Source organism: Homo sapiens, chromosome 12 (assembly GCF_000001405.40).
Source record: "Homo sapiens chromosome 12, GRCh38.p14 Primary Assembly".
NCBI lineage: Eukaryota > Metazoa > Chordata > Mammalia > Primates > Hominidae > Homo > Homo sapiens.
The window spans coordinates 26,224,509-26,248,866 of NC_000012.12; the positions used below are offsets into that span (position 1 = coordinate 26,224,509).

Here is a 24,358-nt window from a genome sequence, read left to right on the forward strand (position 1 = left end):
AATGTTTTAAGAGGGCATTGATCCAGACCTCAAAGGTAATGCTGATTTTTTTTTTAAGTCTTAATTTCCATGAACTGGGTTGGCCTGGAGGATATGAAGTCTGTCCTTCAGTGCCCTTAAAAGGAATATTGAAAATTCATCAGTTCAACAAAACACTTGGCCAGAAAAAAGGTATCTCTTTCAGTGCCCACTTCCATATCTCGGGGGTTATTTGGGATATTTTAATAATGAAGCAGTCTAAGTGTATTTCCTCTTGTAGGTGGGATCACTGAGACAGAAAAAGTACATTGGGCGCATCCAAATGCTCTGTGCCAAGACTCTCAGGGCAAAGTGGGGGACGGGTGATGGGATATGCGTGGTTTGGCAAGCGTGTGTGTCTTTCATTTGTGTGTATCTTTTTTCTGTTAGGGACAGTGCATTTGGCTGGAGCCAATTCAAGTACACAGCATTTTCACTGCACAACAGAATCTACTCCAAAGGGAAGCAAAGACACTACCTTTCAGAGTATAAGGACATAGACATAGAACTTAGCAATCAGAGCTAGTAGAAAGCAAATTCCTTCATTTTCTCTCAACTACTATAGCAAATAATACAAAGCTATCTTTAATCTTTTTTTTTTTAATTTGGTCCACTAACATTGTTTTTTCTTCTACAAGAAAACATATAAAAACTGGATTTTTTTGTTCACTACAATGAGAAAACATCAGACATAAAAGTAAGTGAATGACATTATTTGAAAGTTACTAAGGTGAAAAAAATAAGGTGTGTTGGAAGATTCCAGTATAATTGAAGCTGTTGACATAAAAAAGCAAAGGGATGATATCTTTTAAAATCATGCTATAAAAAGTAATTAATAGATACAAACATTTACATTATAATAACTAATTTTAAAAAGCTGGTTACACAAAATGTATGATATTATCCTACAGAAAAAATAAAAGCTCTTAATGAGCATAGAAAATACAATTATCTATGAGTGGTGGGATTATATTTGCATTTTGCAGTTTTTCTCTAATTTTGAAATGTTCTCCAATAGTTATAACTTTTCTAAGTAAACAGTTAATAGATACTACTTTTTTAAATGATGAAGTTAGAATTTTGGTGGATATGCCTTCATTTGGAAATTATACTTTTCTGTCTGAGGACTTTCCTTGAAAGAAGGCCAGATAGAGTAGACATCAGTCTATGTTTACTATTTGTTTGGAGAGGTTTGACTAAACAGCAAGGCTTGGTGATTAAAAAAAAAAAAAAAAAAAAAGCCAGAAAGCTTAGTAAGAAATGGCCTGTTAAATTACAAGAACTTCATCCAGTAGCTGAAGAACACCCCAAACTAGGTTTTTATTAGTTTATGTGAAATACCCTCATTTTCCCCCCAGATGATCCCAGAAAACAGCAGAGTCAAAAGCATCAGCTTAAGAGAGACCCCAATGCCATCTCAGCATCTGCACCTTAGTTAAAATAGGGAGTAAGAGAAAAAAAATAGAAAAAAAAAAAAGTCACTGCCAATGTCAGCCAGGTTGAGGATTCCCCACTAGGAAGATCTCATTAGCTACCTCTTTTTTTCCACCCGTGACAGGCATTGGCAAATACTGAGGCACTTTCCTCTTCTCCTGAACGTGACCTTTCTTGATGCTTGCTGCTAGCTCTCTAAGGTTGCATGCTACATTATCTTCAGGTTGAAAGTGAGCTTCAGCCCATCTCCAGATTTTCCAATGACACAACAGGGGACAGCTGACTTCCCTTATGCTTCTCACACTACTGGGGGGGCGAAGGCATAACATGCATCTTCATAGGGCGTTTCTCATCAGCATAGCCGCATTTTGGTGCCCCCATCTCGGGACCCTGGCCTAAGCTTTGTTAGAGGATTTATTTCCTCCTGTTGAATGCCCAGATAGCCAGGACAAGCAAACGGGCCATGATGACAGTCTCATTGTAGTCCACACGTGCACACACACGCACCCTCCCTTTCGCTTAGAGAAAATAGCCACGGGCTCTTTTTTTTTTCTCAAGCTGGGACAGCCCTCTGGGGGTTCGGGGATTGGGGGTAGGGTCCCTTCGCAGGCCCTCGATGCCACCAGCGCGTTCCTTTTTCCTCCCTGGGCTTTGCCTCTCTGCCTCTGGGCTTGGCTGGGCATCGGCTGCAGGTCGCGCTTCCTGCCTTTCCTAGTGGCCTGACTTTCTCAGGGCTCCCCTGGAGGTTCGGAAACGTGTCGGGGGCATGTGCCTGCGGAAACATTCCAGGGCACGTTCCCTCCTGCCCACATCCAGGAGGCCCCTGGGCTGCTTGCGGCAGCCTCCTCCCGAGCAGTGCGCTGCAGAAGGGCCCTTCCCGTTCAGGCCACCGGGGAAGGTAATTAAATTGGAGCAGAAACACCCTCCTCCCGAGGTCACCGAACGTGAAAGCTGCAGGCCGGGTACCAATTAAAGGCAGCGAGCGAGCGGAGACGCGCCCGGGCGCTGCTGTTACATAAGCGCCCGGGGCCACCGCGCCTCCGCCCGCTGCGCAGCGCCGGGCTGATGGGCTGACACCCGCAAGACAGATGCCTCCCGCGCCGGGCTTTTATCAAGATATATTTGCTCGGATTCTCAAGGTCATCGTAAACACTCTTCCTTATAGTGTATTCGTGCCATGTAGGTAAAACAAGCCACTTGATTTTAAATTACAGATTCTAACCCAGAAGCTTGTTGCTGTCAGATGAGTTAAAAGCCATGAAGGAAAAATGCCACAGCGCTGCAGATAAAGCCTGCAGGCTTTAGGGGGGATCGAGTATATATTTATGTCTTAAAATGGATAAGAAACTTGATTCCGTGGCTTTCTCTAGTTTACTTGGCCTGATGCTTTCCGGAGTGGGAGAAGCCGAGTCACTAAAGTGTGAGATAGATACGCACGATATAAATTTATTCATACTCAGAGAAGCTAAGGGGCATGGTTTTTCTTTATGTTCTCTTTGGGTTCTAGCATAAACGGTTTAATTAAAATTGAGCAACCACTGTGTTTGTGTAAATGTTTACATCCTTCCTACAAGCCAAGAATGCATTGTTACTCCCACATGACAAAATAAGACAAAAGCAGTCGAATTAATATCCTCAGTCCTCAGAACTGGCAGCTCTTTCCATCCCTACTAATTTGCTTATTATTTCACAAATACTTAAATAGGCTCCTGTATACCAGACGCTGTTCTAAGTTCTTTACAGACATCAACTCTTTTGATCCTTGTAATTATCCTGTGAAGTAGGTGCTATTATGATCATCATGCCAAGTTTACAGATGAAGAAGTACAGGTGCACAGGGATTGATGAATTTGCCCAGGGACCATGGCTAGTGAGGGGAGAACCTGACTCCCTGGTTCACGCTGTTAATCATCAGCCAGTACTGCTGCGCACTTGTTAAATGGTCTTGGGCACATCTTTTAATCTCTGAGCCAAAAAGTCATCTTTTAAAAATAGACAAAATTCCCATTTTCAGCAAATGGATTTTTGTGACTATCATGAATGAGTAAAATCTTTTTCAACTATTTGAATTATTTGCAGATTGAGAATGAGGGATTATTGTCATTGCTTCAAGATATTGCCCAACAAATGTTACAGAAAATTGCTATCTAAGGAGCTTGGTGCGGTGGCTCATGCCTGTAATCTCAGCACTTTGGGAGGCTGAGTCAGGAGGATCACTTGAGGTCAGGAGTTCAAGACCAGCCTGGGCAAAATGGTGAAACCCTGTCTCTATCAAAAAAAATACAAAAATTAGCTGGGTGTGGTGGCACACACCTGTAGTCCCAGTTACTCAGGAGGCTGAGGCATGAGAATCGCTTCAACCCAGGAGGCAGAAGTTGCAGTGAGCTGAGATCAAGCCACTGCACTCTGTCTCAAAAAAAAAAAAAAAGAAATTGCTATTTAAGGATGTATGTATGTTAGAGGTAGGAAGGTTATCACAAGACCCCCGCCCCCAACTTCCATCCATTGTTGGTGATAAAACAGGTAGAGAAAACTCCATTTGGGGCCATTCTACTAAGCAGATGACTACCAGGTGGGAAATGATCACTTTAACCTGGGCCTTCCCTGGTTAAAATCATAGATATACCATTGTTCCCAGAGCAAACTGTTCCCAGTTCTCTGCTGGCTGTACTGGGAATACAGCTACGATGGGTACACACACACACACACACACAGAACATGGTCAAGACAGTTTAATTTGGCTCTTGGCACCAAGAGTTTGAAGTCAGTAATCAAGCCTGAATATTTCAGAACAACCCAGAATTGTTCAAATATTCTTCCCCATTGGTTCTACAAAATAAATCCATATTTTTAGGCTAAAAACTCCAATTTTTGCATAAAATGTAGTCACTGAAAATATTGAGGGCCAGACGAAGTGGTTCACGGCTCTAATCTCAATACTTTGGGAGGCTGAGGTGGGAGGATCACTTGAGGCTTGGAGTTTGAGACCAGCCTGGGCCACATAGCAAGACTCCATCTCTTAAAAAAAATTTTTTTTATGATGGTACCACTTTGTATATATCTGGTTCCCTTCCTCCAAGGAACACTAATATTGAGTATAATCATTGTTATGTCCCTGAGATATAAGATGTTTCTATAAACTGTTTCACAGATGAAGATACTTAGGTTACATCTGACAATCCTTTAAATGATTTGAAGAGGAAAAAGAATGTGTGTTTAAGATCTCTTTGATGAAAAGATCTAAAGAATCCATGATACTAATTAAGATGTATTAAGAAAAAAATGGCTTTAACTAATTCTACGCTCTTCCAGTGACCTTAGATAGACAGTCAAGCTGTATGTAATCCCTGATGGATTCCCTTACAGGCAAACCAGAGATAAGCTTAGGGCACCAGCAACCAGTATGTACACCCACACCCACACATACATGCACACATACCACTCAAGAAAAAGAAAAAGTAAAAATGTAAATACAGCATTCCAAATTTAAGACTTGAAAACACTTGAAATCATCACTGTGTGGAACACACTCATTTGGAGGACTTTTGTACACATATTTTGTAGTGTCACATATATGTTTTAATTTTGAATTATATATAAGGGAAGGTGGGGGAAGGGCATCATCTTCTCAGAGCTACTTTCCTCTGAACCTGGAAATGACTGGAACTAATATTACTTTGTGAAGTGTCCATTTACCAGAATTGTTCTCTGTAGAGAGCAACTTTTGACTGTGGTAATGTAATTCTTGCACTAAGAACTATGTGTACTAGTCTCAAAAGCTGGGGACTCTGAGCCTTACCTAGAGTCTCAGCAGGTGGACCATTAAGATTAACATTTCTAGTAGGTGAGTTCAATCACAAAAATATTTCTTGTTCCATAGATTTTATTGTGGCCATGTCAGTGAACACCCACAAGTTTTGCTCAGAATATTTTAGGTGTAAGCTAAATCCCTAAATTGTTCAGAGTTCCCACAGCCCTGTAGCAGCAGAGCGAGAACTTTAACCAGACTTTTTCAATCCCAAAGCTAATCTGGAGGCCAACAGTGTTCAAAACCTTGGTGACTGAGGAACCATTTAGAGTTTTTTCAGGCTCAGGAATCACATGGTCGTTGTTGGGCTTGGGGTAAGTTTCACAGGCGATGAAGCTGACGTTGAGTCACTTGACTTCTGGAGCCATAATTTATTTTCTCCCAGCAACCTCCTACTGGGGATTCTCATGTTTATGGATACAGTTTGGCAATCACTACATTGAATGTAGTCTTTTAAAAAAATTAACTTATGCTATTAGTTGACCCATCATTGCTAATTTTGGCCCACACAGTGTTTGCATTACAAAAACCTGTTCTTTACTTCCTAGTCTTGTTTCAGTCTTAATATCAGAAGTTCTTGAGTTCAAAATAAGCACAACATGTCATCCAGGGATGGCTAGCTTGTTTGGGATTCATCTAAACTGCTGGCAATATCTAGACAAAAACATTCCACAGTCCAGCTAATATGGTTGTCACAACTCTTGAAAAGGGCCCAACATCTGGATGGCAAGTGAAAATGTGATCAGGGTTTAAGAACTACCCACTAATAAATAAACATGGAGCTATTTCCATGTCTTGGGTGTTGTGTTTCTAAGAAGAGACAGCCTTTCCATCAGAAAATTTCTGGGAGGGAAGAAAAAGAACAGTTTTGATGAATTCGCTTTGCAAATCATCATCCAATGTTCTTTGTAACCAGAAAGGTTTTCTTCTGCTTTCTTGCAGCTGTTATACTTTCTGCTGAGTGCCCTGGGCCTGACGGTCTGTGTGCTGGCCGTGGCCTTTGCCGCCCACCACTATTCGCAGCTCACACAGTTTACCTGTGAGACCACACTCGACTCTTGCCAGTGCAAACTGCCCTCCTCGGAGCCGCTCAGCAGGACCTTTGTTTACCGGGATGTGACGGACTGTACCAGCGTCACTGGCACTTTCAAACTGTTCTTACTCATCCAGATGATTCTTAATTTGGTCTGCGGCCTTGTGTGCTTGTTGGCCTGCTTTGTGATGTGGAAACATAGGTACCAGGTCTTCTATGTGGGTGTCAGGATATGCTCCCTCACGGCTTCCGAAGGCCCCCAGCAAAAGATCTAACATTCTTGCTCAAAGTTGCGAGAGAAAGTAGCACATGGAGTAGCTGAGGTTAAACAAACAAAAAAAAATTTTAAACAAAGAAAGGAAAAAAATTGACAATAAAAGTCACTCTTCTAATTGAATATTTTTATATTTTTATGAAACAAAAGAGCATTTCTTCAGGTTTCTATTGTATTTTTTTTAACATTCTTGCAGAGAAAGCAAGATCCAAATTGATTTTGGGATATTAAAAGTTAACAGAACACTGAACAAGGAAAGAATGGCATAGATCTATCTTTACAGTCTGGAGTTAATTCCTGTTAACTCATTTTATCCATTCCTTACATAATCTTCTTTCCTGTTAGTCCAGTTTGATGGTGTGAATGGTGAATTTCAGGCCCAGTTGCTAAATTTTGTGGCATCTTCCTCTAGTCCTTCCCACCTCCAGTCATCAGCCCCACTCTGTCTTGGAGACAGGCAGGAGGTGGGGGAAGAGCTGAATCTCTTTATTTTCCCTGGTAGAGACATCTTCAAGGCATGAAATAGCTTAAAGAGCAGAGTAGAAACGGAAGAGGCTTTGCAAAAGGCTAGATAACTAACAACACCTGGGTTGGGGCGGCGGCCTCTTCTCTTCAGCTCCCTTAGCTTGGCTCCGTAAGTGGATCACTTGCCAAATGCTTTAGATGATTGCCTCTCAATAATTGAAAGGTGGTGGTAGTTGTATTCTAAATGATGTAGAAGGTTTAAAAATAATTACATTATGCTTCTATTCTATCATCTAAAACAAATCATTAAAACTAATTTCTAGCTAATTGTTAATTATAATTATGCTCAGAAGTCTATTTAATGAGCTCTGACTGTACTTACGCTGCACTGTCGGTGTTAAGAGAAATTACTCTCACAAGAGCAGAGGCCTGAAGATTCTTTCTTCTGAAAGCCAAGCACCACAAGGAAAAAAAAAATTATTAATAGCTCAGGTTAAAAACACCCATTTAAACAAAAACAAGAGCATTTGTAATAGGAAGTGTTTATACAAACAGCACATTTGTGATATGTTGAAAAGCATCTCTCTTGGCAACCAATCTATGTTTGAGGAAGATTGGGTAATGCTGATGTGTTCCATTCATGAAACTGTATTTGATACATAATCCTATTATTAATTCGTATGCTTAGTCAACCTAGGAAATCAAAATAATGTTTTGAAGTTCTTATTTGAGCAATATGGCCTTGACTTGGAGGGTAGTTTTAGTTGTTTTGTTTTTAAGTGACTGTGGTTTAAAGCACAAATGCCCCAAGGTGGGGAGACTTCTCTCTGTGATTATTGTTGCTATTAAATTCTGAACTGTATCCATATTTTAAGGAAGGAGCTAAAAATGGAAATTCATGAAACATAAATGGTATCAAGAACTTTATCAGTATGCTTTGTTGAAAGCAGAAATTAAGATAATAATTGAGTTCAATTCGCCTCTCCGCATTGCCTATTGATACACTTTACTAATCATGAAATTCTAACCTAAAAGGAAAACATTTTCCTGCTTGTCTTAGAAGAAAGTGGAATAATTCCACTGATTGTGATAATGGTTTCAATTTCTACACAATATAAATATCCAGTATAAAGGAAAGCGTTAAGTCGGTAAGCTAGAGGATTGTAAATATCTTTTATGTCCTCTAGATAAAACACCCGATTAACAGATGTTAAACCTTTTAATGTTTTGATTTGCTTTAAAAATGGCCTTCCTACACATTAGCTCCAGCTAAAAAGACACATTGGAGAGCTTAGAGGATAAGTCTCTGGAGCAGAATTTATCACACACAAAAGTTACACCAACAGAATACCAAGCAGAATGATGAGGACCTGTAAAATACCTTGTGCCCTATTAAAAAAAAAAAAAAAAAAAAAGCCAGTAACTGAATCCATTTTGATTTTTGGTTGAGTTTCCTACACAAAGAAGAAAATAACTGAGAATCTGGAATGTTGTAGTCCATCCTTTAAAGAGTAAGAAAGTAGCAGTTAATGCTAGTAACCGTGAATTAGGCACCACTGAAAGCACATCCCGAATTTCTTTAACAACAACATTTTATAGTGAACACTACAAGTTTTTATATTTAAAAATTAAGACTCTGTATATCCTTAAGGTGCTCTATGCTTTACCAGTAATTCACAGGGTATTTCAAATGGTAGAATCATTTTAGCTTCTGTGCTTCCTTTTTCTAAATAATGCAACTTGTAAGAGTTGACATTGTAATAAGCTTTATAATAGTATAACCGTCAGGAGATATATATATATATATATACACATACACACACACACACACATATATACTATACATATATAAAATGGGGATATTACTATTGTATGATTAAATCATTCTTAAGTCCCCAAGGAAAAAAAATCATAAACAAATAGAAAGAACTAAACAGAAAAGAAAGAAAGAAAAGATCCCTTTGCTATGAGCTCGCTGTATATTGATAAGTGTAAGAATTGTGTTGCATGAATAACCGCTTTGGGCTGGATTTGAAGTATTTTGATGTTGTGTTTTGCAAATATTGAAGTTACAATAATGGCAACAGAAAAGGAACAGATACACAGCTTTACACTTAGCAGAATGTTACATTTAAAATCTGACAAGGCGCCAAGATGGTGACTGTCTCCTCTAAACCACGAAAGAGTAAGATTTGTGCAACCCTCCTCCTCTTCCACCTCCTTCAGGAGAATTAAATGAATCAAGACTTTGGAAAGACGGGGAAGAGCCGGGACTTGGCAGTACTTGAAACAGGAGGAATACACCAGCCTAAATGTACAGACTTTGTAGCCGAGCCCACTCGATCGGTCTGTGCCTTCACGTGACCACCATCTGTGCCTCCCTCGCTCCATCCAAATTTGTGTAGGCTGCTCCTTGGAGCTATGCCTAAAATATAGCTACACCAGAGCCCTGGAAACTGTAGTCAAGTAACAGGCCTCACTGTTTTTTTTCTTTGGATTAAAAGTGTATATCTCTCTACTGAGGGGTTTCCAGCTTTACACTTCTATAGGTTGTTCTGACAGTGAGAACACATTATGTACATGTTTTCTATTCATGTCCAGGGCATGAGAATCTTAATATTCTTATACTTCCCTTTTTGCATGCAGTATGTCTGGAATATGTTTATAAAATTTTAGCAAGGGGTGAGATCAAGGGACAAAGGTAGAGTGGTTATTTAAAGACAATCAGAAATGAACTTAAAAGCTGCCCTGCAAAACCAATCCTTTCCTATCATGAAGAGTACCTTCATATTTTCTAGAGATTGTCTCTGAACCGTTGCTACATAGCCATAAATTTCTGTAAATCATGTTGGCTATCAGTTCTTGCTATTCTCAGAGCACTCTATCATGTTTTTAGGTGTATATTGTGTATTCAGGATAGCATTAAAAAGAACTGATGGCAAATGTATTGACTCACAGTGGAAACATTCATTTGGATGAAGAATTAGTGGTTTAGCCTTTGAAATGAATACCTTGAATCATTTCTTCTGATTTTCTAGTAGTTTATTATCTCAAATGATTATTATCCCCTTCAAAAATACTGGTCTGTACTTTGGTGTTGTGGATTCATTTTTCTGGCATTGATCAAATAGCAAATACAAAATAAAGCATTTCTACATGTTTGAGGTGGTTGTTTTTAAAGGGGATATGTGTAATGCAGATTTTCTTTATTAATAAAATTTTCATAATCTCTGAAAACACTGTTTGGACGTGCTTTAAAGTAACTTATGTTACAGATGAACTGGTACACATAAAATCTCTCAAGTTAGTGTTTATTTCAAAAATCTGTTTTTGGAAAGACAAAAACCAATATTCACTGTGACTCCTTTGTTCCAGTGACTGTCTCTGCTTTGCTACTCTGTATCCATCGTAGAAGTCAAGGTTGTAATTGTTCCCAAGGCAAAGAGAGTCTGGCTGGAAAAAGTCTTGTAAAACGTACCTGGAATGCTGATTCTTACTTTATATCTACCAATAGCAACTAAAGTTTGTCCTGAAGAATGGGATTCACAAGTCATATTCTCTATTTTATTATAAAGAAAAACAGACAGCCTTTTCCATTTCAGATCAGAACCCAAGTCTGAGGCAATTTAAACAGTTGATTATACTGTAAAATACAGTGGTTCTTTTTATGTTCTTAGTAAAGCCCAGGACTCACAAGCCCAGAACACACTCTCTGATCTAAATTTTCTTTTCTTTTCTTTTTCTTTCTTTCTTTCTTTTTTTTTTTTTTTTTTAATTATACTTTAAGTTCTGGGATACATGTGCAGAATGTTCAGGTTTGTTACATAGGTGTACACATGCCATGGTGGTTTGCTGCACCGATCAACCCGTCATCTACATTAGGTGTTTCTCTTAATGCTATCCCTCCCCTAGCCCCCCACTCCCCGACAGTCCCCGGTGTGTGATGTTCCCCTCTCTGTGTCCATGTGTTCTCATTGTTCAACTCCCATTTATTAGTGAGAACATGTGGTGTTTGGTTTTCTGTTCCTGTGTTAGTTTGCTGAGAATGATGGTTTCCAGTTTCATCCATGTCCCTGCAAAGGACATGAACTCATCCTTTTTAATGGCTGCATAGTATTCCATGGTGTCTATGTGCCACATTTGCTTTATCCAGTCTATCATTGATGGGCATTTGGGTTGGTTCCAAGTCTTTGCTATTGTGAGTAGTGCTGCAATAAACATACATGTGCATGTGTCTTTATAGTAGAATGATTCATAACTCTTTGGGTATATACCCAGTAATGGGATTGCTGGGTGAAATGATATTTCTGGTTCTAGATCCTTGGGGAATTGACACACTGCCTTCCACAATGGTTTAACTAATTTACACTTCCACCAACATTGTAAAAGCGTTCCTATTTCTCCACATCCTCTCCAGCATCTGTTGTTTCCTGACTTTTTAATGATCGCCATTCTAACTGGTGTAAGATGGTATCTCATTGTTGTTTTGATTTGCATGATGAGCTTTTTTTCATATGTTTTTTGGCTGTATAAATTGACAAATGGGATCTAATTAAACTAAAAAGCATCTGCACAGCAAAAGAAACTATTATTAGAGTGAACAGGCAACCTACAGAATGGGAGAAAATTTTTGCAATCTATCCGTCTGACAAAGGGCTAATATCCAGAATCTACAAGGAACTTAAACAAATTTACAAGAAAAAAACAACCCCATCAAAAAGTGGATGAAGGATATGAACAGACACTTCTCAATGATCTGGACTTTCTATCATTCATGTTAAGGTGGTAGGGCCTCGAGTTGCAAGTCTGGCTGCCACTTACTGCTGTGTGACTTTGGGCAAAGCATTCCATCTGCAGTTTCCTCATGTGTAAAGTGGAGAAAAATATAACTACCTCACAGCAACATGGGGAAGGTTCAATGAAACAGCACTTAGCAAAGCAACTGGCTTCTAGATGCTGCTTAATACACATTTGGTTTCTTCCTACCTTAGCCCAGTTCCACATAGCCTGGGACTTGTCTCCTCATTACTGCAGGCTCCTGTCCGCACATCAAAGTAGAAAAGGAGCGCTGCTTTACTGTGTGACTTCCTTGTTGTAAACCAGAAACATGAAATGGGCCTCAAACAGAAATCCTGCTTTTAAAATAAGATAGCACCAACTTTTGTAGCTAGACATATAGCACACAAAATTATGTATTGGTTGGATCCCTTTGTTGTTTTACATATTTGGATGTGTCTTGAATGTGACTGTCTTCTCTCAATTCTTCTCCCAGGAAGAAGTAGAACTGGAGATATTTCTCCTGTGTTTCATATAACTTCTAACTTAATGTAATAGAAGCGTATTTTCCCCCAACTTTTAGAAACCAATCTTTTGTACATTATCAGTCCACCATATATTAGGTTATAATGTACAATTCCTCATTTATTTTAAAAGCAACCATTAAGCACCTTTGGTATGCTTGACCCTGTGGGTCACTGATTCTCATTTAAGAATCATACAAGGTTTACTTTTGAGCACAATCAGAAAATACCAAATGGAGCTTCATTCTGCAAACTGGATATGAAAACATTTACATGAACCTTCAAATTTGTGGCAGATTTAGTTATTGAAATTAAACAGCCATTAATTGACCTTTTCCCTTGATAGAGCCTATCTATCTTAATAGTTCATGATATGTTATTTTATTTTTCACTTAGCACATTCATATATTTTATAAGTTAAACTTTGTAAAGCATAAGACTAATATTAGATATTATATATTTTAAAATTCATATTGTAAGTGAAAATAAAACTAATATATGGGGATGCCAGCTCAGAGACAACAACTCATTATTTCCAGCAAACATTTATTTATATATGTTTATTGATCCCTTCCAAAGCATGGGTACTTAGAGGAAGTTTTTTTGTTGTTGTTTGAGGGTGTCATTAGACAGGTCCTTTAATCAAAGGGATGGGGGAGATATATTCATGTCTACATGAACATACTATAACATAATATTAAAACATACTACAACAGTAATACTAAAACACAGATTTTATCTGAGACATGAAGTCTTCTGTTTAACAAGACTCTCTGACTGAGGGATGAGGAAGCCTGGAGTCACTTTTGTGGGACAAGGGCTGGTCCTTCCTCTCCCACAGGAAAGCCTGCTGGAGAGGAAGGCAGGGCCCAGAATGGGACTGAGACCCACCTGGTGCTGCCAGGAATTGTGGAGGAGACTTAGACAATACCCAACGAGGCAACTGAACAAGGAGAGGTCAGTGGGCGCTTTAGAGACCCCAAACCTAGAGACTTTGGACAGCACCTCTCTCTAGGCAGGGTGCCTTGTTTACTCTGTTTGATTTCCTACCCAGACATTTCCCCCCAGAAATTCTCACTGTGTTGTCTTTGCTTGGCCAGGTGTGATTGTAGAGAGCAGGAGGAGGACTCTCAAGGACCACAGGGGACAGTGGCACTGTGACCAGAGAAGATGAGAATAATCTTGTGAAATCCACCCCCAAGTGGTCTCTCTACGTTTTCCTAGACATGTGTTTGTTAGAGCACGGTTACCCAGGGAGGGCCTGAAAGTGGTGCGCCAGCCATAGTGAATTATCATAAGCAGAGGAAGCAGAGTCTGAAAATTATGTGATTAAAGCTGTCACTAACCTCAGTGGATTAGTTTTCATTCTTTCACTCAGGTATTTTTACAAAATAGATAACGTTCCTTCCTCAGATACTTTTGCTCGCAAGAGTAGACTTAATTTTTTATTAATTTTTCCCTAGATTGCAACAAAGTGACAAAAGGATGGTTATAAGATTGTAAAAGGAGAGATCACTGCTTCATTTTAATATGGGGAAGCTTAGGACTTGGGACATTGAGCATGGCTATTTAACCAGTGGCAGGGAATGTGCACTCTGGCAAATGCAGGGAGGAGTGACATCATGAGTGTACTTGGTGGCTGGACAAGGTGCCCACAAGTGAAAACGTGGATTCCATTTGGCCTGGCTTGAATTACAAGTAAAAGCATTGCTCCTGGTACAATTCACGCCCACCCACCACTAGATTTTAATATTGTTCCAGACATTCCGGGAGAAACTATTAGAAAGGCTCTCTCCACCTGATTCATCTCTCTGTCCCCTCCTGGGATCCCTCTGCTCCTCCAGATAAGAAACTTCCTCCCCCAACCTTATTCCACAGCAAAATCTGCCCCTCCTTCATTTCCTGTCCCATTTCTATGGGACTCTATTAAGATATTATTGACTCAAGTGCTCATGCTGAATACAGAGATTTCTTCATAAATATGGTTTTCATTTTAACAGGCTATTTCTAACAATCAGAAAAACTTTCAGATCCAGAGAAATGCGGCACCCTGCCAAGGAGTGGAGACCCACCCAGTCATCCTTCAAACTCACCATGTAGGTGGCCACCCACTCTGTCTGACCAGAATTATCAGACTTTCAGGGCTCATGGGACTTGGAGAACATGGACCATCAGCCCCAGCCCTGGCTGTGGCTTGGAAACCTGTGTGGATCTGTGGCTAAACAGGTTGCTGGTTACAACTCTGTGCTCAGACTGGTGGAAGGGAGGTATCCAGAAGAAGCTGGCAGGAAGGGATTTTTCCTCCCATGATTTCAGAGGACATTTTACTGTGGAAGACAGGATGAGTGAAAGGGAAGAATTCATGCAGAACCTCTTTGCTCCCAGGGCCCGGCTCCCTAAGCATTCCTTGTGACAACTCACCAAGGTTGACTGGCTTTGCTCAGACCCCTGAGCTTCTCTATTCATTCCACACAGAACACCCTCAGATACTGGCTGGGCTTCACAGTGCTGCCCAGAGGAGGACATGTCAGCCAATCAGCAGGAAAGATGCTCATTTCTTGTTGAAAAAGTCCCAAATTGTAACTTAACAGGGTGATCTCTCTCTCACTCTCTCTCTCTCTTTTTTTTTTTAATTTCCAGAATGTGTTTTTCCCCTAGAGTCCTTGAGCACAGACCTGCGGTTTTCTCTCTCCTGGTTTTACAGTCTATCTGCCTCAAGCCAAGAGACTTGGCTCTGCTCCCCCCTGACTCAGAGTCTCGGCTGGTAGCTGAACCCAGGAAGCCCTGGCCCCACGTCTCTCCCTGGAACCACCAGACCACACAGCCTCCTGTGCTCAACCCTTTGGCTGGGTGTCCTGCCTCCTCTTTGTTTGGAAAGAGATGTCTTACGTAACTCCACAACCTTCTAAAGGCTCCATTGTCTTCCACTTGGGAGAGCTCAAAACAACCCATTAGTGACTTATGACTTATCACAAAGAGAATCTATTGCCCACATATCCACAGCCCCCATGGAGCTAGCCTCACCTATCTTACTTAGATCAATAATCAACAATGAGACTTAATGACTTGTGGTCTTTGGGAAATTATAAGTTCAGTACAAGGTGCAGGAAATACAAAGGCTAGTTCATCTATAGGTCACGGTACTTCGCCCAGGCAGCACATGAAAGTCATTTGTAATTCAAGATTGAGACAGGCATAAACAATTCTGATCTGATTATTCTTTTACTAATCTGATTTTGATAAACAGCTGATGAAAATGGAAGGTGTCTGGTCATCAGAGGAGAGATACTCAGGCAGTGAAATAAGTTTTCCTTATCTCACTGGATAGGGATTTATTTCAAGGCTCCTATTAATAGCCCCTAATGCCAAGAACTGTGATCGCTGCCCTGGACTGCAAGAGCCTTCTGAGCAAAATGACAGAAACCCATTGGGTAGGGCATTCTCCTTCATTTTTATTTTCTATAAGTCTCTGATTAGCCCTGTTGGGAATTCTAGTAATTATTTTAAGCTGGCACCTTTAGGAAAAAAAATATATCTCTTAGGATTTAATTAAAAATGAAAAGAACCTCTGCATGATGTTGCCAAGGAGCTTTCACTGTTTAAGGTGGGGTGTAGACCAGGAAGAATAAAACACTCTGCACTAGGTGACATTTCCATCTGGTTCTGCTGCCAGAGCAGCCCTGGGGAGAGGAGCAGGAGAAAGAGAGGGGACAGCCTGCTCCAGCCTGCTCTCTCCTCCCCATGGACCTCATGGTCTTTCAAGGATCCTGCAAGTCCTTTGCTTCTTTCTTTCTGCAGCAGACATTTTCTCATCTGGGACCAGCTATGTGACTTGTTTCAGGTGGAGGCACATTTCTTTCCCTGCTCAGTGACATGTGAGTCCTCGACAAGCTTTCAGAAGGGATTCCTGAACTTGGTGAGGCACAGCCCTCTCCAACTGCCTTGTGGAGCATCCCTGGGCAGCATGCAGAGGAGAGGTGAGAGGCTGCCTACCCGTGCTGTGGCTGTCCCTCCCACCTCCCTTAAAGCCTCCACGTCAGGCGCCAGTCCACCAGGTTCACTGCGTGCATCTTTGGACAGCAGTTGCAAAACTGAGAGTTCCAGAAATTGTGCTACACTCAGTTTTGTGTATACATGTGGCTCAGGTCTCATCATCTTCAGCTCATCACATTTCAAAATGCTGAGAGTAGAAAGCGTTTCTCATTCTGGCTTTAAAAGAGAGATTTCCCCAAGGATCACACCTCTTCAGTCTTTGGGCCCAAGCTTCTTGAAGGAGCTACTTGCCTACTTTACAGGGCAAAATTTTAGAACACATAATTTGAAAACCCCACCAACTTTAATGTGAAAAAAAAAAAATCAATTCCTTTTGATTTATTATCCCCAGGAGACAAGGTGAAGTTCAAGTCCACCTCAGATAAGAAAATGAAATTGCTTCCGTTTTATGTGAATACAATCTGCATCCAAAATGGGTGGGGCTACCTATACTGCAAGGACAAGAACTCAAAAGGCAGTGCTCGAAATGCTCATGGAAGTGTCATTACAAATCCATTTTCTTTTTCAACACTAACTGACTAGGAATAATTTAGAATAGACATTAGGATGAAAGTCCTAACTATGAATCTGTAAGAAATGGAAGAAATTACCAAGGGATCTTTGTATAAGCCCTATTTCTGCAGTATATTAAGTAAATCTTCTCTGAAGATTATTAATAAAATAGTATAAAACACTCTTTCTAGAGTGTCTTCATTCAAATGCTACCCAAAAATTATAAGGAAAAAAGTTTTCCAACTGGAAATTATGGGAATTTACCAAGCCAATAGAGACTTCTAATAGAGTCATTTTCCCTTCTTATTTGTCCCCTGGCCTCTTCTGGCTCTAAAAATACTTCTAGTTTAGGAAATTTTAGAGACAAGATCAAAAATGGGGAAGTTAAAGGACTGAAGCAAGGAGTAGAATTGAAATATCAATACATTATCACTTCAAGATCACAATAACAATAAAACTTAAAGCAAAAACTCCTTAAGAATCGTCTACATAGTTTAAGTACATAAAAATAACATGCAAACCATGCTCTTTAACTAGACTTGAGAAATCCCACGGAGTAATATTTTAAAGAGCTCTTGAATTAGTATTTATATGTATCGGAGAGGCCACATATTATGGTCACTAAGAGAATAGTTCTGGAACAAGTTTGCCTGTGTTTGAATTCCAGTGAGGCCTCAGACAAGCCACCAAATCTGTTTGTGCCTCCTTGCCTCAGTTTCCTCATCTGAAGGATAATAAACAGGGGCTTGTGAAGAATGAATGATAATTATTTTATATAATAGATATAGAACAATGCTATGCAAGTGTTTGATGATGGTGGTGATGATGATGGTGATGGTGAGAAACTGTCAATAAATAGAAATTCATAGGAATATCAGGAAATCAGGAAAATAACTGTAGCACCTAAAATTCCTATAGCAAAACACTTTGCAGAAACATAAGACAATAGTTTGTATCCGCTGGAGCCTAAGTACAAAACAGCAATCCCTCTGCCCTCTGCAAACATTAGAAAGTGCAACAGAGAAGATTTTCTTGTGTTTGTTCCCAAGCCATAATCTGTACTCCATGGGCAAACTGGGTCAGGCTTCCAAGTCCTGGCATCTAGGAATCCTGAGGCTCACTGACCTGGGAGAATGATGCTAGGGACAGAATAAGACTTTTAGAGCCCAGAGCCATCCCATTGGCCACTCCCCTACTTCCATAACTGCAGGTAACTTTAGATTATAAGAAATACCTTATACAACCTTTCAGGGAGTAAAAAAGTAACAAAAGCTTAGGGTAATGAGCAGTGTACTTTGGAAAGGAAAATCCCACCATCTTTGTTTTTGAGACTCTGGTAGGTTTTATGAATTAAGTGTTTGCACAGATATATATGACTACTTTCTTCAATGCAGCTGGCCAAGTTATTTTCTTCCTGCCCCTCCATTAAGCTCTGTCCCTGAGCCCTGCCCAGCACCAGTAGTAACTCAGGTTCCATATAAGAGCTGGACTTTGGCAAAGCCCTGGTAGGGACTTTTGTGTGACAGTAGGAAGGTGCAGAGCAAACTGGTTTCCTCAAATTTTATAGATTCATGTCCAGACAGTCAAGGTCAGCCCTGGAATCCAAGAAACAACACCTTCAGGGGCCTTTTCCAAAGCTGTTCTTACCAGGCCACATTGCCTGCCCCAGGCTCCATGGGGTGGTGTCAGAAGTGGGCTTAAAATGCAAGGCTATTCTGTTCAAACCTAAATGTAGAGTTCTATAAATTGTCATTTTGGGTACCCTTAAGAGCTAAGATAGATGAGATTTAGATTTGTAGCCTCCTGGTGAATTAAAAATAGACATGAAATATAGACAGGACCAAACAATCTTGCTGGGGGAGAGATGCCTTCCTGCCTTTGGGAGAAATGTCACAGGATCTGATCAGACCATGAACAAACACTCCAAGCCACAGTCATTGCTCCAAAAGTAGTGGATCTATGAGGTCAAAAGAAGGGCATAGCCAACACGACGCTTGACCCCAAGCCACCTCCCCTCCTACTCCAAGTTCACTCTTTCTCTGCTTTTCTTTCATGCAGAGGAAGAAGAAACAAAACTAGGGTGAGGGACCAAGGAGACGTCAGCATGGAAACCCTTGGATAGCTGCCCACAGAGCTTTGCATTCATTCCTCGTATAACACAAAAGAGTTTCTGGATGAAAAAGAGTTGAAGGTCAGAGTGAATGAACATGTGAGGTACTTAAAGATAGGCACTAAGGTTTTCACGCTGTGTTCTGGCAAACTTAGGATTTATTGAAGGTCATGGACTCTTTTGTAAGAGGAATTAGGCTTCAGGTGGGGTTTTTATGAAATTACTGGATTTTAGTGTACTTTTGAGGGATACTTCTCTTCTTCCACCCCCAGATTATACCCTCATCCACACTCTACCTCTGGGCATTGTTGTCCCAGTGCAGTCATGGCCCTTGACATTAGCAAAGGTGAGAAATCTTCTGCTCTTTAGTTTAGGTCTTGTTACTTAGAGTCAAATGTTACCTATTTATTATAATATATTAAAATCTTCTGCCCTTAATTTTAGGTCTTGTTACTTGTAGTCAAAAGTTATCTATTATACTTGTTTTCCTGTAATAAGGAAAAGTATGAAAAGGGAAAAGGAAATATCATTACAACCTCTTTTAGTTTACTCCCAATTCGATCACCTTTGCAGTTACTTCTTATCTTAAAATCACTATGTTAGGGCTGGACAGATTCCTTCCAGTCCAGCTTGTGTATTTTACAGAAAAGCAAACTGAGGCCAGATGAGGTTAGATGACTCGTTTAGGCTCACTCACCTCAACTCTTTTTCTTATTAACATAAACTCTTGGCTTAAAACTGGCATATGTTTTTCTCCCCCTCCTTTTCCCCCCTTTACTCTTTGTCTTATGATTTATCTTCTTTTTCCTATTTGATTGGGATCTGCAAATGTATAAACCCTAATTTCAACAGGTTTGAAACCCCTGCCCAGTATTCTCAAGGATATTAGGCAATAACTCATTATTTTTTCTTTTTTTCTGGGACAGGGCAAAATGTTGACATTTATTTTGCTAATATACCCAGGATTTTTCTTCTATATTTATTTTTTAGAATAAAAGAAGTAAATAAAATGGAAGTTACTCATATTCTCCGAGAATGAAGAAAGGGAAAAGGTGATGTGGGGGACCCAAGACCTATTTGAAGAAGGGTAGCTGTAAGCGTGACTAGAAAACAGTAAGGGGCAGACCAAACAGCCTCTTTCCTTAAGAATGAGCCCTTGGTGTTGATTATGTAACACTGGCGACTGCAATCCCCGAGGAAGCTGCCCGCCTGCCACAGTGTGGTTCAGTGGTTAAAAACAGACTTGAGACCAGTCATATTGCCTCGTGTCCAAGCCTAGGTTTTGCTACCATTTACTAGCTATATATATACGTGGACAAATTCCTCAACTACTCTATACCCAAGTTCGTTCCCTCATCCATAAAACGGGGGTAATAAGAGCACCCATCTCATAGGGTCATTGTGAGGCATACATGGGTTTGTCTCTGTAATGCGCTGGGAAGAGTGCCTGGAACATTCTAAGGGCGCAATCTGTGCTTATCATTATCATTACCTGTTATCAACCCTGTTTCCCAGCTCATCTTTGAATCTGAAAATATGGGCTAGAGATGGAAGAGGAGGGGAATTATTTTATTATACTTGACTAGGTGCTCAGGAACACTAGAGTTACAGCTTGATGAGAGCGCGAGGAATCCTTTTTCCTGTACCTAAACTCAGCTGTAACCATGAAGGCATGCATGCTTGCAGTTAACACTGAAATAGAGAGCAGTTTCCAGAGTGTGCTTTCCTAGAGAAATCCCTGATAGGCTTCAGACTTTTACATTAAAGTCTAGTTTCTGGCTAATATAATGAGTCCTCTCTGAAACTAGCCTAGTATGCACTGTGCTTTCTCATTGTGTCATCAGATCTACAACAGGAAGTGGCGCTCCTGCCACCAAGTCTTCAGCAGTGGAATTGGGTTTTAGACTCTGTTGCTAATGCCCCTATTGCCAATAAGCATTCAATATTTCTGCTTAGCCTTCTTCTTGTGCCATTGGTGATGCCCTTCTCAAAGATGGGCTGGTCCTCCAGGGGAGATACATGCTGGGACTTCTAAAAAGCCCCAGGATTTCAGAGCCAGCCCCACTATGATGCATGAAAAGGGATAGTGGGCAAGTAATGGGACTTTCTGTTTTCCATCAGATCCTCAGTCCTTCCGGTTCCGTGTCAGTGCTTTTGCCTTCAGTGAGTTTGCAGTGGAAGTCTCAGGAGATATCACATAATTACTAGCACACAAGGAAGAAGTGGAAAGTAGAGAGGGAATCTAAAGACAATTTCCAATGGCAATTAATTGGCTTGACGCCAAAACCTTCTGAAGGCCGTTTTATGCTGGAAAGAAAAAGAGTGATCTGGGAGTCCCTGATCCTGCTAATGAAATCATGCGGCAGGAAAACCTTCCCATGTTTCTGATTTTTTTTTCTTTGTCTTTCCTACAACCACCAGTGCAAACACACAACACCCATAATGAATGGAGAACCTGGTTAATTGTGTAAACTCCTTCCAAAACAATCAGGTCTTAGCCCTCCCCACTGCATTTGAGAGAGCGACCAAATATGCAACTTAAAGCTAACACACATTGGACGTGGGAGTCCGTAGGTACAACAGAAATAAGCACCATCATCGGCCATGCCGCCGGAACAGTTAGAAACATTCTTCACCTGCTCAACCTGAAAAAAGGACCCGGCTCCAGCTTATCTTGGTAAGTGGCTAATGTGAAGTGAGCTCGGGGAAGCCTTCCATGGCCTCAGAACCATCTCCTGCACTCTGAGCAGTGCCCTTGGCAACACAACAGAAGACTGGAGGAAGGGGGCGAGGCCCACCCCAGGAGAAGGAAAGGACAGCATGAAACATGATGCAGCTGCTGAACTTTCTTTTCATTACCTTTAAATTATATCAATTTCTAGACTTTGCGATATCTACTGAAAAGAGAAAAGAGACTTAAAAATAATCTATCTGCTTTTAACCTAATTCAAATTGAGCAATAATGAAAGTAATTCTGCCTGTGCAAAGACTGGACCACCACTTTCACAGCTCCCTGCCTCCCAGTTCTGTGTGGCTAGGAGTTTCCATTTCAACTCTCCTGCTCTGAAGCAAGAAAAACACAGGCCTCACTGCTGTCGCCTCTGGCCCTGTGTTACCCCTTACCTGGAGTGACTCACCACATCAGCCCAGGGTGTGAGCGAGGGCAGGGCTTGTGTACCAAAGCTGGAGGAATGTGCACCATCTCTCCAGCTTCCTTAATCACCTGTGCCTGAAGGGCCTCTGTTAGAAATGCCCAGTACCTCCTGGATCATTAAATCATTGATGTGCTCCATAGTCCAAGTGGAATTGGGGGAAGAGGTGACCAAGATGTTGCTTGGTCAGCTGAGGTTGGAGTGGTAGAGTGGGAACGTGGTGGGTAGAGGAGGAGGTGTTTGCGTCACCAACCCCCAAGCCTTTGTCAAGATCCTAGCACTCCAAGCCCTTCCTTGATCTTCTGCCATGAGGTATATTTTATTATCACTGGATCTATAGATCTTTGAGTCATCTGAGCTTCTCCTCTTGGTCACAGGATAAGAAATGAGGGCAAGAGGGAAAGGAAATGTAAAAGCTTTAATATACCTATTTTGTGCTAGTCATTGTTCTAGGAGCTGGATATATAGGACCAATAAAACAGACAAGCTCACTACATCCAGAAGGAGAGACAGACAATGAAAAGACAAATAAATAGAACATTTTAGATAGTGGGCAAGTGCTATGAAGAGGGTGCTCTTACAGAAGAGAGAAAAGAGGTAGGGCAATATTGGGAAGGATGGTGAGGGAAGGACATGCCATTTGATCCTTAACCTGAATAATAAATGATAGCCAGCCAACAATATGGGGAAAAAGCATTATAGGTAGAAGGAACGGCAAATGCCAATCCCAGGAATGAGGCTGGGCAATCAGAGCAACAGAAAGAAGACATGGGTCCCTTGATCAGAGTGTCTGTGGGGCCAGCTACTACCGCACGGGAATGAAGTGGTCAGTTGCTGTCAGATTGCAGAGGGGCTTACAAGCCACTGTAAGGAAGTTGGGAGCCATTGGAGTGTTTGCAAGCAGTAGAGTGACATGAAGTTTATCACCTGTGTTTCCCACTCACACATGTGACACACACATATATACCCAGACATAAACACAGGGAAGATATATGAGTGGGCAGAGACACAGTTTGAGTTGTCAAAATATTTTATGTTTTTATAATTGACTGTTACTACAAATTGGATATTTAGAAAGATGAACAATTTCTCAGAAGTATAAAAGGAAGGGCTAGATTAGAAAATAAGTTAAGTATTTCTTGGAAACCGTTTTATAAAATTAATACCTGAAATGAAACAGCACCATTCACACAGAAGTCATGCTGGACATTGACTTTTGAAAGCCAACATTTAAGACATTTCTTCGTGACCAGAACAGGGTCACAATAGGGAAGAAAAAGCTGGATGGCTTTTTCACTAAGCCCCTTGGACTTACATATCCATTAAGAGAAGGCACAACTTGGTTTAAGGAACAAAAAACCAGTAATTTACAAGTGGCGTGGTTTATCCATATTTACTCAGAGCACCAAGCCTCCCTCTGAGACCCAGAGGAGAACTTTCAGTTTTACCCTCGTGCTTAACCACAGTGGTCTCTCTTTGTCCAAAGACATTGCACCACCCTGGAAGACACAGTCAATGAAAGTTCTTGGAGCAAGTAAACGTTTTGGGGTGTTGACCTATGAAATTCCTTCAAATACTTCTTTTATTTTGACTGACTGACTTCCTTCCTTCCTTCCTTCCTTCCTTCTTTCCTCCCTCCCACCCTCCCTCTCTTCCTTCCTTCCATCTTTATTTTCTTTCAAAAACTTTAAACAGGAGAGGCGGACAAATCTGAAAGAAAAGGGAGGATTATTTTTATTACAAACTGTGAGTATATCCAATATGGCTAAAATTACATAATACTGTTCTTCTGAAAGGATGGAGTTTTAAAAACCTGGTATTCTCTGAGACTACAAGTAAACAGACTTCATAGCCACAGAGCTTCTTGTTGTTGAAAGCAAATATGTACAGAAGGCAAACAAATATCTTTTTTAAAAAACCAAAGTTAATGTTGAAGAAAATTATGATGGTCTTGAACAGAGTAGTTATTAGCAAAGAATACATGAAAACATGAATTACTTGTAGGTATATTCAGTTCATCTTATTTGCTCTTTACCAACTTAAAAGAAAGATATAATGAAACAAAATATTTTAAGAGTAAAAAACAGAAGTCAAATAGTAAATAAAATAGGGAGATCTACATAAAATAGGAGAATCTACTATAAACAAGACAAATAAAATACTTAACTCTGAAAAATACGGACACTTCCCATTATCATGTATTTTCCTTTCATAGTGTT

The 24,358-nt window shown here is 40.5% G+C and overlaps 1 protein-coding gene and 1 long non-coding RNA gene across 11 annotated transcripts in view, besides 3 other annotated features; one reads left to right on the top strand and one right to left on the bottom strand.

Annotated features, from left to right (window-relative positions):
* Window positions 1-10,269, top strand: part of SSPN (sarcospan) — a 112,787-nt gene extending 102,518 nt beyond the window's left edge. For all 5 annotated transcript variants that reach the window (XM_011520853.4, XM_011520855.2, NM_001135823.1 and 2 more), the window contains 1 exon segment: window positions 6,203-10,269. In XM_011520853.4, coding sequence (XP_011519155.1) covers window positions 6,203-6,568 — 366 coding nt within the window. In that variant the 3' untranslated portion in view covers window positions 6,569-10,269.
* The window catches only part of SSPN-AS1 (SSPN antisense RNA 1), a 60,672-nt gene that overhangs the window by 13,353 nt on the left and 22,961 nt on the right, over window positions 1-24,358 (bottom strand). Inside the window, exons 2-4 of one of the 6 annotated variants that reach the window (NR_187466.1) lie at window positions 7,415-7,477; window positions 7,153-7,272; window positions 4,170-6,611 (exon numbers count right to left, since the gene is read on the bottom strand). The exons of 2 other annotated variants lie outside the window; for them this stretch is intronic. This is a non-coding gene — a long non-coding RNA (SSPN antisense RNA 1). Of the gene's footprint in view, window positions 1-4,169; window positions 7,273-7,414; window positions 7,478-24,358 lie in introns of those variants that run through there. 3 more of the 6 variants (NR_187464.1, NR_187467.1, NR_187465.1) reach the window with 3 other exon arrangements.
* Window positions 1,740-2,375: an enhancer, noted in NCBI's record as "H3K4me1 hESC enhancer chr12:26379181-26379816 (GRCh37/hg19 assembly coordinates)". NCBI's record gives its function as "activates a minimal SCP1, AML or CMV promoter by ChIP-STARR-seq in naive H9 embryonic stem cells {active_cell/tissue: H9 hESC(naive)}" and the evidence as "EXISTENCE:reporter gene assay evidence [ECO:0000049][PMID:30033119]".
* Window positions 20,759-20,938: an enhancer, noted in NCBI's record as "active region_6118". NCBI's record gives its function as "activates an Ori minimal core promoter by ATAC-STARR-seq in GM12878 lymphoblastoid cells {active_cell/tissue: GM12878}" and the evidence as "EXISTENCE:reporter gene assay evidence [ECO:0000049][PMID:35858748]".
* Window positions 21,554-22,753: an enhancer, noted in NCBI's record as "MED14-independent group 3 enhancer chr12:26398995-26400194 (GRCh37/hg19 assembly coordinates)". NCBI's record gives its function as "activates an origin of replication core promoter dependent on BRD2, BRD4, P300/CBP and CDK7 cofactors, and independent of MED14, by STARR-seq in HCT116 cells {active_cell/tissue: HCT116}" and the evidence as "EXISTENCE:reporter gene assay evidence [ECO:0000049][PMID:35650434]".